The 15,428-nt window shown below is 47.9% G+C and overlaps 2 long non-coding RNA genes across 2 annotated transcripts in view, besides 2 other annotated features; one reads left to right on the forward strand and one right to left on the reverse strand.

Annotated features, from left to right (window-relative positions):
• Positions 1-9,048: 9,048 nt before the first annotated feature.
• LOC124903028 (uncharacterized) lies at positions 9,049-14,257 on the reverse strand. The gene is made up of 3 exons (XR_007063474.1): positions 13,568-14,257; positions 13,112-13,374; positions 9,049-10,170 (listed from the first exon to the last, which is right to left on the reverse strand). It is a non-coding gene; the product is annotated as an uncharacterized LOC124903028 (long non-coding RNA).
• Positions 9,957-10,460: an enhancer, noted in NCBI's record as "H3K4me1 hESC enhancer chr12:117096334-117096837 (GRCh37/hg19 assembly coordinates)". NCBI's record gives its function as "activates a minimal SCP1, AML or CMV promoter by ChIP-STARR-seq in primed H9 embryonic stem cells {active_cell/tissue: H9 hESC(primed)}" and the evidence as "EXISTENCE:reporter gene assay evidence [ECO:0000049][PMID:30033119]".
• The window catches only part of LINC03088 (long intergenic non-protein coding RNA 3088), a 36,636-nt gene continuing 34,179 nt past the window's right edge, over positions 12,972-15,428 (forward strand). The window contains exon 1 of the long non-coding RNA XR_007063473.1: positions 12,972-13,674. This is a non-coding gene — a long non-coding RNA (long intergenic non-protein coding RNA 3088). The remainder of the gene's footprint in view (positions 13,675-15,428) is intronic.
• Positions 14,196-14,820: an enhancer, noted in NCBI's record as "H3K27ac-H3K4me1 hESC enhancer chr12:117100573-117101197 (GRCh37/hg19 assembly coordinates)". NCBI's record gives its function as "activates a minimal SCP1, AML or CMV promoter by ChIP-STARR-seq in naive H9 embryonic stem cells {active_cell/tissue: H9 hESC(naive)}" and the evidence as "EXISTENCE:reporter gene assay evidence [ECO:0000049][PMID:30033119]".

Raw genomic sequence — 15,428 nt, forward strand, 5'->3', positions numbered from 1 at the left:
GGCCACCTTGCCTCCCAGCATATGCCCATCAACCTATTGTTGAGGTTCCTGGGCTCTCCCATTGCCTGGGCCCTGGGTCCATCCCAGCCCCTGTGTTCTGTGAACCTCTGCCCCTACATCATACTCTCTGCAAGACAGCCTGGAGATGGGTTGGAAACATGAGACATGCTGTGCTGTGGAAGTCTCCCTAGCAAAGGTGATACTTCATGACAGTCTCTAAGGACAAGCAAGAGGTAGCCAGGTGAAAGAGAGACAAAGAAAGCATTTCAAGCCAAGGACACACCTATGCAAAGACTCAGAAACTGTAAACATATTTAATCAAATTCCAGAAACTACAGGTAGTTCTGTGAGGTCAGGCCCTAAGGAGGTTTAGTGTGGGGAGGGGAAAGGGTCTTACCATTGGAGCGAGGCTGAGAAGTTAGAACATTATGCTGAGGGCTACAGAAGCTCTTCAAAAGCTTATGAGAGGGCCAGGTGCAGTGGCTCAGGCCTGTAATCCCAGCACTTTGGAAGGTGGAGGTGGGAGGATGGCTTGAGGGCAGGAGTTCGAGGTTGCAGTGAGCTATGATCACGCCATTGCACTCCACCCTGAGGACAAGGCAAGACCCCATCTCTAAAATAAATAAGCTTATGAGATATAGAAGTGTTCATAGCAGCATTATTCACAATAGCCAAAAGGTGCAAACAACCCAAACACCTATCAACAGATGAATGGTGATATGGTTTGGATTTGTGTCCCAGCCCAAATCTTATGTTGAATTGTAATCCCCAATGTTGGAAGAGGGACCTGGGGGGAGGTGATTGGATTACGGGGGCGGATTTCCCTCTTGCTGTTCTCATGATAACAAGTGAGTTCTCACTGGTTGTTCAAAAGTGTGTAACACTTCCCTCTTCTCTGTCTTCCTCCTTCTCTGGCCACGTAAGACGTGCCTGCTTCCCCTTCACCTTCCACCATGACTGTAAGTTTCCTGAGTCCTCCTCAGCCATGTTACCTCTACCTCCTGAAGAACCGTAAGCCAGTTAAGCCTCTTTTCTTTATAAATTACCCAGTTTCAGGTAGTTCTTTATAGCAATGGAAGAACAAACTGATACAAATGGATAAACAGAATGTGGTCTATCCATACAACAGAATATTATTCAGCCTTAAAAAAGAATGAAGTTCTGATGCATGCCACAATATGGATGAGCCTCAAAACATGCTAAGTGTAAGAAGTCGGGCACAAAGATCATGTATTGTATAACTCAATTTATACAAAATGCCCAGAACAGGCAAATCAATAGAGACAGAACCCAGACCGGGGGCTGCCAGGGGGTGGGGGTGGGGGAATGAGGATGACTGCTTAATAGGTAGAGTATTTTTGGAGTATGAAAATGAAAGTGTTCTGGAACTAGATAAGGTGATGGTTGTACAACATTGCAAATGTACTAAATATCACTGAATTGTATATGTTAAGATGGTTAGTTTTTTGTTATATGAATCTTGCCTCCATTTTTTAAACAGTATGAGAGGAACAGTTTCTTGGTTTAGTAAATATCTATCGCATAATTTGAGGGATCTACATCACAGAGCAGACCTCAGAACCCAAGGCAGGTTTTTCATTCAGATGCAACATTCTCCCAATTCCTTAGCTGTCAAAAGGGTTGGGGGAGCTTCAAACTCCAGCTGACAACACCATAGCTTTCAAAGTGAAACCAAAGATGAGAGCTATGGAAAGTGGACAGAGTCCAGGCCATTTCCAAACAGTAATCTCTGCCTTCCTCTTGTTCCAGCCACAAAACAGAACTCACACTTAAAAATGTCAGTCTAGGCTGGACACAGTGGCTCATGCCTATAATCCCAGCACTTCAGGAGGATCACGTGAGCCTAGGAGTTCAAGACCAGCCTGGGCAATATAGCAAGACCTGGTCTCTACGATAAAAAATAAAAACATTATCTGGGCATACTGGCGTGCACCTGTGGTCCCAGCTCTTCCGGCAGCTGAGGTGGGAGGATTGCTTTAGCACGAGAGGTAGAGGTTGCAGTCAGCCAAGATTGCACCAGCGTGGGTGACAGAGTGAGACCTCATCTCAAAAATAAAAATACAAAAAGTCATCATTTGAGCTGCCTGTGAATGCCGGTAGCTTCCCCTCTAACTGGCTGCTTCCATGGTTTGGAAGTCCCAGGAGGAAGTACATCTTGTTCGGGAGAGCTTGGGGGTAATTGCCTGAATCCTTTCCCCAGTACTTCCTTCCACATAATGTTTTTAAATTTCCTCCAGATGACTGCCACCCCTGGTGATATGGTTTGGCTGTGTCCCCACCCAAATCTCATCTTGAATTGTAGCTCCGACAATTCCCACATGTCGTGGGAGGGACCCAGTGGGAGGTAATTGAATCATAGGGGCAGGTCTTTCCGGTGCTGTTCTTGTGACAGTGAATAAGTCTCATGAGATCTGATGGTTTTATAAAGGGCAGTTCCCCTGCACAAATTCTTCTTGCCCACTGCCATGTAAGACATTCCTTGCTCTTCCACCATGATTGTGAGGCCTTCCCAGCCATGTGGAACTGTGAGTCCTTTAAACCTCTTTCTTTATAAATTACCCAGTCTCGGGTATGTCCTTATTAGCAGCATGAGAACAGACAAATACACCTGGTTTTTGGCCTTTCTTCTAAAACCACAATGTTATTTCTTCTAGCTCAAGGAGTTGTGGGGAGGGGCATGGGGGAATTGAGCAAGGGCTTTAGAAGCTATAGCGGACATTGAGGGTGAGGTTAACATGGCTGTGCAGGAAGGAGCAGTGTTTTGGTTCTTTGCACTCCCCAAGTGCTTGAGTCTTCATCATAAGCAGGGGCATGAATTTTTTCCCTTTGCATCAATGAGGCCACCCATGGATCCCAGATGTGCCGAGGCAAGAGCAGGGAAAAGCCAGGTCGCGCAATCTATTCACAGTGCCAATGGTCTCAGTGCAGAGCAGCCTTATGAGACGAGGGAAGTATTAAAAAGAAAACGAGCCTGTAATCCCAACACTTTGGGAGGCCAAGGAGGGCGGATCACTTGAGGTCAGGAGTTTGAGACCATCCTGGTCAACATGGTGAAACCCCATCTCTACTAAAAATAAAAAAAAATTAAACGGACGTGGTGGCATGCCTCTGTAATCCCAGCTACTTGGGTGGCTGAGGCAGGAGAATCACTCGAAACCAGGAGGTGGAGGTTACAGTGAGCCAAGATTGTGACACTGCACTCCAGCCTGGGTGACAGAGTGAGACTCTGTCTCAAAAAAAAACATAAAGAAAGAGAAAGAAGAAAGAAAGAAAAAAAGAAAGAGAGAAAGAGAGAAGGGAAGGAAGGAAGGAAGGAAGGAAGGGAGGGAGGAAGGAAGGAAGGAGAGAGAGACAGAAAGAAAGAAAGAAAGAGAAAAGAGAGAAAGAGAAGAGAGAGAGGAGAGAAAGAAACAAAGAAAGAAAGGCAGAAAGAAGAAAGAAAGAAAGGAAGAAAGAAAAAGAAAGAAAAGAAAGAAAACAAAATCAAGAAAAATTTGGACGAAGTTTACAACTTTTATGTTAAGAGTCACAACTCCCTTAGGATAGTCCACAGTGGTTCTCAATTGGGGTGATTTTGCTGCCCCAGGGGACACTTGGCAATGTCTGGGGACATTTTCATTATCACAATTGGGAAGGAGGGTGCTGTTGGCATCTATGAGACAGAGGGTGCAATGCTGCTCAGTATCCTACAGCGCACATGGCAGACCCCTGCAGCAAAGAATAATCCGACCCAGAATATTAATAGTGCCATGGTTGAGAAACCCAGTTATACTGTGTTTACATTAAAAGACTAGTTCTACTTTGTATTTTGAACATACTGTTTTCAATCAAAAAAGAGAATTTTACATTTAAAGTCATTTAGATAGGACTCCAAATGTTTATTCATAGTAGTTCCTATTGATACAATTCCTAAAATAGAAAATTAAATAACATGGAGTCCCCAAAGCTTCCTCATCTTTTTCATTAATCTACAAATCTACAAACTAGGAATTTTTAGAGTATGTGCCTGAAATGTCCACAGAGGGGATGGCAGCTCTGTACAGGAGGTCTAACTGGAATTCTGGGACTCTGAGCTCTATTCCTGGGTGGATAAGGTGGTTTCGGTCCTCAGGTTGCACATAATGTGATAAATTCTCTAATAGAAATGCCAAAATGCTATAAAGATAGAGAAAGACGGTTGGGCACAGTGGCTCATGCCTGTAATCTCAGCAGTTTGGGAGGCCAAGTTGGGAGGATCACTTGAGCCCAGGAGTTCAAGACAAGCCTGGGCAATATAGTCAGACCTCGTCTCTACAAAAAGAACAAAATTAACCAGGCATAGTGGTGCACACCTGTAGTCCTAGCTATCCTAGCTACTCGGGAGGCTGAGGTGGGAGGATCACTTAAGCCTGTGAGGCAAAGGTTGCAGTGAGCCGAGATCACACTTCTGCACTCCAGCCTGGGTGACAGAGACCCTGTCTCAAACAACAACAACAACAACCAAAAGAAATAGACAAGGAGGTGATCCATTTCTCCTGTGGTATTCAGGAAAAATAAGAAGGTGAACTTTGAACTGAACCTTCTAGTAATTCTTCAAGAGAACAAAATAGGGAAGAAAATTTCAGACAAAGGAAGAACTAAGGCGTTGTTATGGGTTGAAGTGTATCCCCCCAAAAGATATGTTTAAAATCCTTATCCCCAGTACCTGAGATGATGATCTTATTTGGAAATAGTTTCATGCAGATACAATTAGCAAAGATGAGGTGATACTGGAGTAGGTGGGCCCTTAATCCAATATGGCTGGTGTCTTCATAAAAAGAGAGCACAGAGCCATGCAGGAAGGACGCCATGTACAGAGGGAGTCAAGAATGGCAGAGCTGCAGCTGCACAACAAGAATGCCAAGGTTTGGGCCAGGTACGGTGGCTCACGCCTGTAATCCCAGAAGTTTGGGAGGCAAAGTGGGAGGATCATTTGAGGTCAGCAAGATCACTTGAGGTCAGGAGTCTGAGACCAGCCTGGCCAACATGGTGAAACCATGTCTATACGACACATGGGAATTCAAGATGCTACTTGGGTGGGGACACAGCTAAACCACACCATATATTTTTTTTAATGGATAAAAGCTTGGAAAAGACAAATAAGACATATGGATGGCCAATAAGCACATTTAAAAGTGTTCAACAATTGTCACCAAGGAAATGTAAATAATAACCACAATGAGATACCACCACACACCCATTAGAATGGCTAAAATTAAAAAGACTAACATGTATTGCCTAGGATGTAAAGCAACTGGAACTCTCCTACATTGTTAGTGGAAATGTAAAAATGATACAACCACTTTGGCAAAAGATCTGGCAGTTTCGTTTTTTCTTTTCTTTTCTTTCTTTCTTTTTTTTTTTTTTTTTTTTTTGAGACTGGGTCTCACTCTGTTGCCTAGACTGGAGTGCAGTGGCATGATCATAGCTCACTGCAGACTCAACCTCCTGGGATCAAGCAATCCTCCTGCCTCAGCCTCCCAAGTAGCTAGTACTACAGGCACATGCCACCACTCTGGGCTAATTTTTGTATTTTTTTATAGAGACAGGATCTCACTATGTTGCCCAGGCTAGACTTAAACTCCTAGGCTCAAGCAATCCTCCCACCTCGGCCTCCCAAAGTGCTGAGATTACAGGCATGAGCCACTGTGCCCAGCCTGACAGTTTCTTACGAAGGAAATATACACCTACCATACAATCCAGTTACACTTAGATATTTACCCAAGAAAAATGAAAACATATGTTCACATAAAGACTTATACACAAATGTTTATAACAGCTTTAGTCATGATATTCAAAACCTGGAAACAACCCAAATGTCCATCAGTAAGTGAATGGATAAACAAATTGTAGAATACTACTCAACAGTAAAAGCGAACAAACTACTGACACACGAAACAACACAGATGAACCTTAAAAACCAGTGAAAGAAGGCAGACACAGGAATATATACTGTATGACTCCACTCTATGACATTTTAGAAAATACAAAACTAGAGTGACAGAGAGCAGATCAGCGGTTGCCTGAGGTCGGGAGTGAAAGGGAGATTGACTTTAAAGGAACTTGAAGGAATTCTGGGGGGTAATAGAAGTATTCTATACCTGGCCGGGCACAGTGGTTCATGCCTGTAATCCCAGCACTTTGGGAGGCCGAGGAAGGTGGATCACTTGAGGTCAGGAGTTTGAGACCAGCCTGGCCAACATGGTGAAACCCCGTCTCTACTAAAAATACAAAAATTAGCCGGGTGTGGTGGTGAATGCCTGTAATCCCAGCTACTCAGGAGGCTGAAGCAGGAGAATTGCTTGAATCTGGGAGGCGGAGGCTGCAGTGAGCCAAGATCATGCCACTGCACTCCAGCCTGGGCAACAGAGCAAGACTCCACCTCAAAAAACAAGAAAAAAGAAATAAAATAAATAAATAAATAAATATTCTATATCTTAATTGCAGTGATGGTTCCTTGAATGTATACACTTGTCAAAACATCAAATCAAACACTTAAAATGGATGCAGCTTATCCCACGTAAATTATATCTCAAAGCTGACTAGAAGAATAATGAAGGCAGGGGCAAAGTTTTTTATATTATTGGAGGTTTGGCTGGGTGGCGGCTTGAGTCTCTCTCCTTTTGAGCAGGTCATGTTATCCAGGTGTTCTGTTGACATGCAGCTAGGGAACAGGATTCCAAGTTTTCCTTTGCTGACTTATGTGTATGTCATCCCAGCACTCAGTAAATGATGGCACTAAAAGGTTTGAGATCAATTCTCATCTTGTGTGCTCTGCGGCAGGAAACCCTGATTGTGATTCGAGACGTTCTCTCTCTGTCGGCCTCTCTTTCAAAACGCAGAGAGACTGAAACATTTGTCATTGGCCTGAAAGAGAGAGGCTGGTTTTGGTAAGCGCCAGCCTGAACCAACAGCCAGTTAGCACAGTCTTTGATTGGGAAGGGTTGAGACACAGGGCTCCTCCTTGCCTATCTTCAAATGCGGAGAAGCTCTAGTGGGTTTGCCTGGACCCAGGGCAGGGAACCTGATGGATTCCCAGCCACCTAAGCTGAGCTCATAGGGCCAGAAGGAAACTTGAGAGCCACAGAGAGCTTCATCCCTCCTCTCATGTGATCAGAACCATCTCCATCTGCATGAGGCAGGTGGAGATGATAGGGGAGGAGGACTCCTTGGGAAACCAACTGCCAGGTTGACAGTCAGCAACTGCCTGAGGTGTCAAAGGAGCAATGGCTAATCTAAAGCCAGAGATGTGGGACATCTGCAGTCAGTGTCAATGCCCTTGTCTCTCTGGGGCCCAGGAAGCAACTGCATGAAGGTGCAGATGACCCTGCTACCCTGGAACTGGTGACTGAAATAAGGGGCAAGTTGACCCAGTGAAGCAAAGGGATGGGGGAGACTGTGGAGATTTTTTTTTTTTTTTTTGAGACAGAGTCTCCCTCTGTCACCCAGGCTGGAGTACAGTGGCATGATCTCAGCTCACCACAACCTCTGCCTCTCAGGTTCAAGTGATTCTCATGCCTCAGCCTCCCCAGTAGCTGGGATCACAGACATGTGCCACCAGGCCCAGCTAATATTTTTATTTTTAGTACAGACGGGATTTCGCCAGGCTGGTCTTGAACTCGTGACCTCAAGTAATCCGCTCTCCTCAGCCTCCCCAAATGCTGGGATTATAGGCATGAACCACTGCACCTGGCCAAGGCCATGGAGATTCTGCCCTGGCCATCTAAGTGGTCTGTCCACCTCCCCCATTATCCCACGCCTCTCAGTTCCTACGCAAGATGCAAAACATCTGGAAAAATGGACTGTATCCATTCCTCTCTTCCAAACTCCTCACTGGCCTTGATGTGCATTTAGGATAAAATCCAGACTCCGAAGCCCCCTGCATAAAATAATCCCTTAGGATGCTTGCTCATCAGGCAGATTCCAAGCTCCTGCGCCAAGATGCTGATTCAGCAAGGCTGAGATGGACCCAAGCATCTGCAATTGCAACAACCCCCTGCGGGAATCCTGATGCAGGCCACCCATGAAACTTCTTTTGGAAATTCTGTCCTCCAGATTTGACCTCTAATGCCTCTTCTCTCATCTGGTCCTGCTTGCTCTCCCCTGGTGCACGATCTCCTGTTGCAGAGCCCAGAAAGGGCCGGGTACAGGCTTTAGCCATCAGCCCCGATCTCCGACATCCCTCACACCCATTCTTTGATGTAGACAATTCTCATTTCCTCAAAGTCACATAAAGTGCTGTTTTAAACTTAACTTCAAGTCAAATAATCCATTTTCTGTATTACTGATATAGAACATTCTGGAGCTACCAGCATTCTTTCCTATATCAAAAGTTTCCAGTGGCCTGTATTTTTCTTCCTAGAACGTCAACCTTTGCCCCAAATGTACCCCCACCCCATTCTTGGAGTGATTCATGTCAAGTGTTTAGCTCCCTACTAGACTGAAATCTGTCTGAGGGCAAGAGCTCGTTTCTTCTCTGCTGTATACAAAGAGCTGAGCATATTGCCTGGAATATAATTAAGGCTTAATAAATATTTGTCACATGAACATGAAAAAGCAGGCAATTTCTGGATGACCTTCAAGTAAATAAAGTCAGTCTGAGATGCGGGAGGTCTCCACGGCAGGTAGCAAAAGGAAGACTAAGAAAAGTGAACGGTGAACGGAGCTGAACAGTGACCACCCTGTGATGTTCCCAGCTGAGGGTGAACACTAATGAACACTTGCAAATGGCCCCAGGGCTCTTCCAGACCTTTGAAATCCTAGGCCAGAGGTCATCTCTCGGCTCTGATTCAGAGACCACCTGCCACTGCGCAGCCCTGGGATTCCACTGCTCACCCCAACTGCAGAGGCCTGACTCCTCCCTTACCCCCTCCTCCGACTCCTCATAAACCAGGTTCAACTCACCTTAAAATCAGTTTCCTCATTTGTCTTTTTAAGGACTACTAAAATCCTTAAAGAGACGTTCTGATGAGCTTATTCTCTTTGACTTAAGAGTACAGAGATGTTTGGTCATTTTAAGGATTCCTCCTTTATTTTACTAAAAGTTTTGTCTTCACCCCTCTCCAGCCCCCAGCAAATATTCTGAGACCTCTGAGACCCCTGGACTCCTCCTAGGAGGGGCATAGCTTTAGGAGGTTGTGAACCCCTTAAAACTGTATCTGATCTTTTGTGTGTATATTCATGGCTTCCTATCCTATTTTAAAAGATTGAAAATCACCGCATAGTAAAAGCAACACTGTCTTTTTAACGAAAATGTCTGTGTTTAAATCCCAGCTCTACACCTGTCGATTGAAGTAACCGGGGGCAGACCATTTAAGTCATGTGAAAGCTCTGTAGATGGCTGTCATGGGATCTTACTAAATTGTCTGCATGAAAGCCCTTGTAGGCTACAAAGCATGGAATTCCAGTATGTTCTCTCTCAAGAACCTCAGCCAGGGGCCCCTAGACAATCACATTTGCTCTTTTCACCTTCCCCATCACTGCATAAGGTCTGCGCAAGTGATTCCCATTCTACACATGCGAACACTGAGGCCAAGGTAGGTGATTGAGTGTCCCTGAGGTCACAGGATCAATGACTGAAAGAAGCTGAACCTTGAAGGTAGAAAGGAGGGGAATTAAAAGAAGAAAAATAAAAACAAGAAACAAAATCATGCTTCTTTGTTGTCCTTCTGGAACTCAGACTCTGAGTGAGTTAGGTGGAGTTCTGGAATGTTTTGCAAGACGAAGATAGCTTTCCCATTCTGTCGCGTTCTTGCTCTCCTCTGACGCCCACCTGCTTGTTGCTTTCTGCTGGTGTCTCACCTTCTGCAGGCGAGGAGCGCATGAGAGTCGGGCTGGGTGAAACCGGGGCTCCATCTGCCTGCGTGCTTTCTGGGGATGTCTGAAGGTAACTTTGTGCTGGCGCCCCTTGCCAGGAAGCTGAGAAGCCTTCTGCAGCGCCACCCGGCTCCCATCCCCTCTCCGCGGAATAAGCTGGTACCAAAGCCAGCCCCTGGTGCCGCTCAACCAGATGGCAGGGGAAGCAAAACAAAAGTGACCTTGTTAGCAGAATGTGTCTTCCCCGGGAGAAGCTATTTTTGTTGTGGTTGTGAACTGAAGTCGTCTCAGCTGAATTCTCCTTCCCTGCGAGGGCTGTGGAATGTTAATTTGTTCCAAAGTTCAGTATTTTGATTAGAACCAGGAGTGCCAGATTTTGTCAGAAACATTTTGGAATGGGGTAGGCTCACACACACTCTCTCTCTCTTTCTCTCTCACTCTCTCTCTTGGCCGCTGTACAAAGTAAATGTTGTTGCAGCAGCTGCCCTGGGGGAACAGCCCATTGCAAATCGGAGCCGGGGGTGAACCGGCTCCTCCCTGTTGCCGTGACCTTATTGCCATAGAGGCACCCAGACTAGGGACAAAAGTGGAGACACCCTTTCAATTGGAGAGAACAAAGAGCCCAGCACAGAACCTGGAACGGAGGGGTCCTCAGGAAACACGTGTGAGCTGAAAAAAAGAATGAAGCCAGGCGCGGTGGCTCACGCCTGTAAACCCAGCACTTTGGGAGGCCAAGGCAGGTGGATCACAAGGTCAGGAGTTCAAGACCAGCCTGGCCAAGATGGTGAGACCTCGTCTCTACTAAAAATACAAAATTAGCCGGGCCTGGTGGCGGGCGCTTGTAATCCCAGCTATTTGGGAGGCTGAGGCAGAGAATTGCTTGAACCCGGGAGGCAGAGGTTGCAGTAAGCCGAGATTGCACCATTTCACTCCAGCCTGGGTGGCAGAGCAAGACTCCATCTCAAAAAAAAAAAAAAAAAAAAAAAAGAAAGAAAAGAATGAACTTCCCCCAAGATGTAGCGCTCAGAGTTTCTGCAACCCAGAGGTCATGTCCAAAGGGAATTATCAGAGTTCTAGATTCTGAGAACTCTATTTCTCTTTTTTCTTTTCTTTTTTAACATTGTAATTTACTTTTTTTTTTTTTTTTTTTTAGGGACAGGGTCTCCCTGTATCACCCAGGCTTGAGCGCAGTGGCATGCTCACAGCTCACTGCAGCCTCAAACTCCTGGGCTCCAGTGATCCTCCGTCCTCAGCCTCCTGAGTAAAGGGGACTACAGGCATGCATCGCCATGCCTGGCTAAATTTTTTTATTTTTTGTAGAAATGAGGTCTTGCTCTGTTGTCCTGGCTGATCTCAAACTCCTGGCCTCAAACAATCCTCCTGCTTTGACCTCCTTTGGATTACAGGTGTGAGCCATGGCACCCAGCCTGGTTCTCTTTTTCTGACCGCTTCTCTCTCTCAATGAGTTATTAAGCCAAGTCATGCATGACTATTTTCTGAATCACAAAACGAACACAGATAAGATGAAAGTGCCTCTGATCTCTACTCCAATCCTAGCCCTCTGGTCCTTCTCAGAGGTAATCAGATGCCAATGCCACACCACAGCCTCACCAGAGCTTGATAACATCAAACCTATCATTTGTTGTCGGTCTGGTGGGTGAAAAGTGTTTTTTGTTGTCTTCTTTTGTAGCATAGTATAGTAGTTAGGAGTATGGAATTTGAATGCGGGTTGCCTGGGGTCTAATCCTGGCCCTGGAGTAGCCAGAGGAGGAGCAACTGTGTGGACAACTGAACCTGGCTGAAAGTCAGCTTCGCGGTGTCTGGACCAGGAATGATGGCAGAAGTTATGTTCCAGGGTGGTCGTGAGGATCGCTGCATGAACTAGAGCGTGCTAAGTGCTCAGAGCAGGCTGGCCGGCACAAGCGTTCTGCAGGGGTTTGTTTTTATCATTGCCGCTATCATTTCCCCAATCACTTAGGACTCTGGGCACCCCCACCCCCCACCTTCACTTTCAGTTCAGTGTTGACAGTTTCCCACGTTTCCCAGTCTCCCAGCACTAAGGCTGGGAAATAACCGGGAAGCAGTGAATTCCTGGTTCTGTTTCTGCCTCTTACAGTGAGAGGTGACAGCGTACTGGCAGCCCTGCAGCCCTTGCTCGCTCTCGGCGCCTCCTCGGCCTTGGCGCCCACTTTGGCCGCACTTGAGGAGCCCTTCAGCCCGCCGCTGCACTGTAGGAGCCCCTTTCTGGGCTGGCCAAGGCCGGAGCCGGCTCCCTCAGCTTGCAGGGAGGTGTGGAGGGAGAGACGCAGGTGGGAACCTGGGCTGCGCGCGGTGCTTGCGGGCCAGCGCGAGTTCCGGGTGGGCGCGGGCTCGGCAGTCCCCGCACTCGGAGCCGCCGGCCAGCCTGCAAGCCCCGGGCAGTGAGGGGCTTAGCACCTGGGCCAGCAGCTGCTGTGTTCGACTACTCGCCATGCCTTAGCTGCCTCCCCGCGGGGCAGGGCTCGGGACCTGCAGCCCGCCATGCCTGAGCCTCCCCTCCCGGCCGTGGGCTCCTGCGCAGCCCGAGCCTCCCCGACGAGCGCTGCCCCCTGCTCCACGGGGCCCAGTCCCATCGACCACCCAAGGGCTGAGGAGTGTGGGCACACGGCGCAGGACTGGCAAGCAGCTCCACCTGCGGCCCAGTACGGGATCCACTGGGTGAAGCCAACTGGGCTCCTGAGTCTGGTGGGGACTTGGAGAACCTTTATGTCTAGCTAAGGGATTGTAAATACACCAATCGGCACTCTGTATCCAGCTCAAGGTTTGTAAACACAACAGTCAGCACTCTGTGTCTAGCTCAGGGTTTGTGAATGCACCAATCGACACTCTGTATCTAGTTACTCTGGTGGGGACTTGGAGAACCTTTGTGTCCACACTCTGTATCTAGCTAATCTAGTGGGGACGTGAACTTTTGCGTCTAGCTCAGGGATTGTAAACGCACCAATCAGCACCCTGTCAAAACGGACCAATCAGCTCTCTGTAAAACAGACCAATTGGCTCTCTGTAAAGTGGACCAGTCAGCAGGATGTGGGTAGGGCCAGACAAGAGAATAAAAGCAGGCTGCCGGAGCTGGCAGTAGCAATTGGCTGGGGTGTTTTTCCGCTCTGTGGGAGATTTGTTCTTTCGCTTTTTGGGTCCACGCTGCGTTTGTGAGCTGTAACACCGTGAAGGTCTGCAGCTTCACTCCTGAAGTCAGGCGAGAAGACTACGAACCCACCTGGAGGAACGAACAACTCCAGACTCGCCGCATTAAGAGCGGTAACACCGCGAAGGTCTGCAGCTTCACTCCTGAGCCAGCGAGATCACGAACCCACCGGAAGGCTGTAACATATCTGAACATCAGAAGGAACAAACTCCGGACAGGCCGCCTTCAGGAACTGTAACACTCACCGCGAGGGTCCGTAGCTTCATTCTTGAAGTCAGTGAGACCAAGAGCCCACCAATTCCGGACACAACAGGACACACTGCGGCTTCTCCTGGCTTTTTCAAAGTTCAGCCCAAGAGGAAGAGAGACCTAATTAATACCCAGGAGATGGTGGTGTTTATTTTTTCCAGCTGGGACAACTAAGGCCCCGAGAGGAGAAAGGGACTATCCGGGGTACAGAGGCCACTGAGTCAGAGCTAGGACCAACATATCACCAGCTCTCCCTCTTCAGCGCAGACCCCAACTCACCAGCGGTGGCTTCCTGAAGAGCTGGGTTAAGGAGGATTCTGAGGTGCAGCAGAGCTCGCTAAGAGGCTGACGGGTAAGGGGTGCTGCGCTGTGAGCACAGGAGCCAGGTGGGTGTTGCCTGCCATCCCCTCTACCTCTCCCTCTTCTCTCTGCCACCTCGGTTTTTCTCCATCCTTTCACTCACCCCCGACCCGCCATTGTTTCACCTGCCTGGAAATGGCACCCTTCGTTGAGAGTAAGGATAGGGCCTCTGCTGTGCCCAGGCCACGTTTCTGGGCCTCTTTTTTCCTCTCCCAGGTCTGAAGGGGCCTCAGTTTGGGGTTCTTAAGGGCCCAGAGACCTGTGAACAGTTGCTCCCTCCCCTACTTAGTGGCCCACGTGGAACTCAAGAGTATCCCGCTCCGTGGCTGTTCAGAAATGCAGCAGCACAGCCCCCAGGCAGCAATCGTTCAGGAGCGCTGGGAAGCCCACAGCCAGCCTGAGCCCTCCGAGATGCCTCTAGACTCTGGGCCCGGGATCAATACTTGGGAGGGGGAGAGCAGATGTGAATGCGATGCGGGCACACGCACAGCGTGCTGCTGGAGGCCCAGCTCAGAGGAGCTGGGCCAGCCTCCCCCGCCCTCTCCTTTCTCCTTGCCTTGCGGGGGCCAAGAGGGCTGTGGAGGGCTCTGCTGGAGTCTGCCATCTGCTGCTGAAAACATCTGCGCTTGCTGCCTTCCACGCAGACGAGCTGTCCGTCCTTCCTCCTCCCCCTCTTCCGCCAAGGCTATTCAGACGGGCGTGCAGGCTGCGGGCAGAGGTCAGGAAGCTCCCCGGCCTGTCCAGGCACGAGACAGCAGGCACTGCCTCTTTGGTACCTAGGCAGCTGTGTCTGCGAGTCCCTGGCTCTCTCCCAGGTGCCCTGCTTTAAGAAAATCCAATAGGAACAAAGTCCTGTTTGCAAAGTGGACACCTGCGGGCAATGTATGTCTCTGTCTGCATTGCACAGAGATCATCCTGAGCGATTCAATGATTTTTTCTCTCTGTGGGTTCTAAGTTCTTAACCAGAAAAGGAGATGTTAATTGAATCACCTGGGAGGTTTTTCAACATGCACCCGGCCAGTCCCCATGTTTCCCACTCTCAGACAAAACAGGTTTGGGGAGAAGAGTTTGTTGAAAGAGGTCCCTAGCACCCAGTGTTGCTGACAGATCCCCTCCCCACCTCTCCCTGCTCTGCTACCCTTGCGCATTTCAGCTTTTATTTAAAAGTCAGTAACTACCTACAGTGGAGGAGGGGGCTTTAAAGCTGAACTGTTCTATCTCACTATGAATTAAAGATCAGTTAGAAATGAAATTTCAACACCCAAGAAAAGAATAGGTACATTTATTAGAAAATGGGAGTGCTGTATATTTAAATTTTTAAAATGTATACAGATTAGGTCCATAATTCATTGTTTCTATAAAATCATATCTGTGGCAAGCCCCTGCCTCCACAGAAACAATTTTATTTCATAGAGCAATCTATTTGTAAGCATGGAAGGACCATTATAGATCCTAACAGTGTCCTTTAAGAATGAGGACACAGAGTTGACCCACTTCTCCTAGTATATGTTGGAATTCCAAATTCTATCGGTTTATTTACTCATTTATTGAGACGGAATGTTGCTCTGTCGCCAAGCCTGGAGTGCAGTGGCGCAATCTCTGCTCACTGCAACCTTTACCTCCCAAGTTCAAGCGATTCTTCCACCTCAGCCTCCCGAGTAGCTGGGACTACAAGTGCGTACGTCATCGTGCCCAGCCAATTTCTTTTGTATTTTTAGTAGAGACAGGTTTTCACCATGTTGGCCAGGCTGGTCTCGAACTCCTGACCTCAAGTGATCCA

Source organism: Homo sapiens, chromosome 12 (assembly GCF_000001405.40).
Source record: "Homo sapiens chromosome 12, GRCh38.p14 Primary Assembly".
NCBI classification, from domain to species: Eukaryota; Metazoa; Chordata; class Mammalia; order Primates; family Hominidae; genus Homo; species Homo sapiens.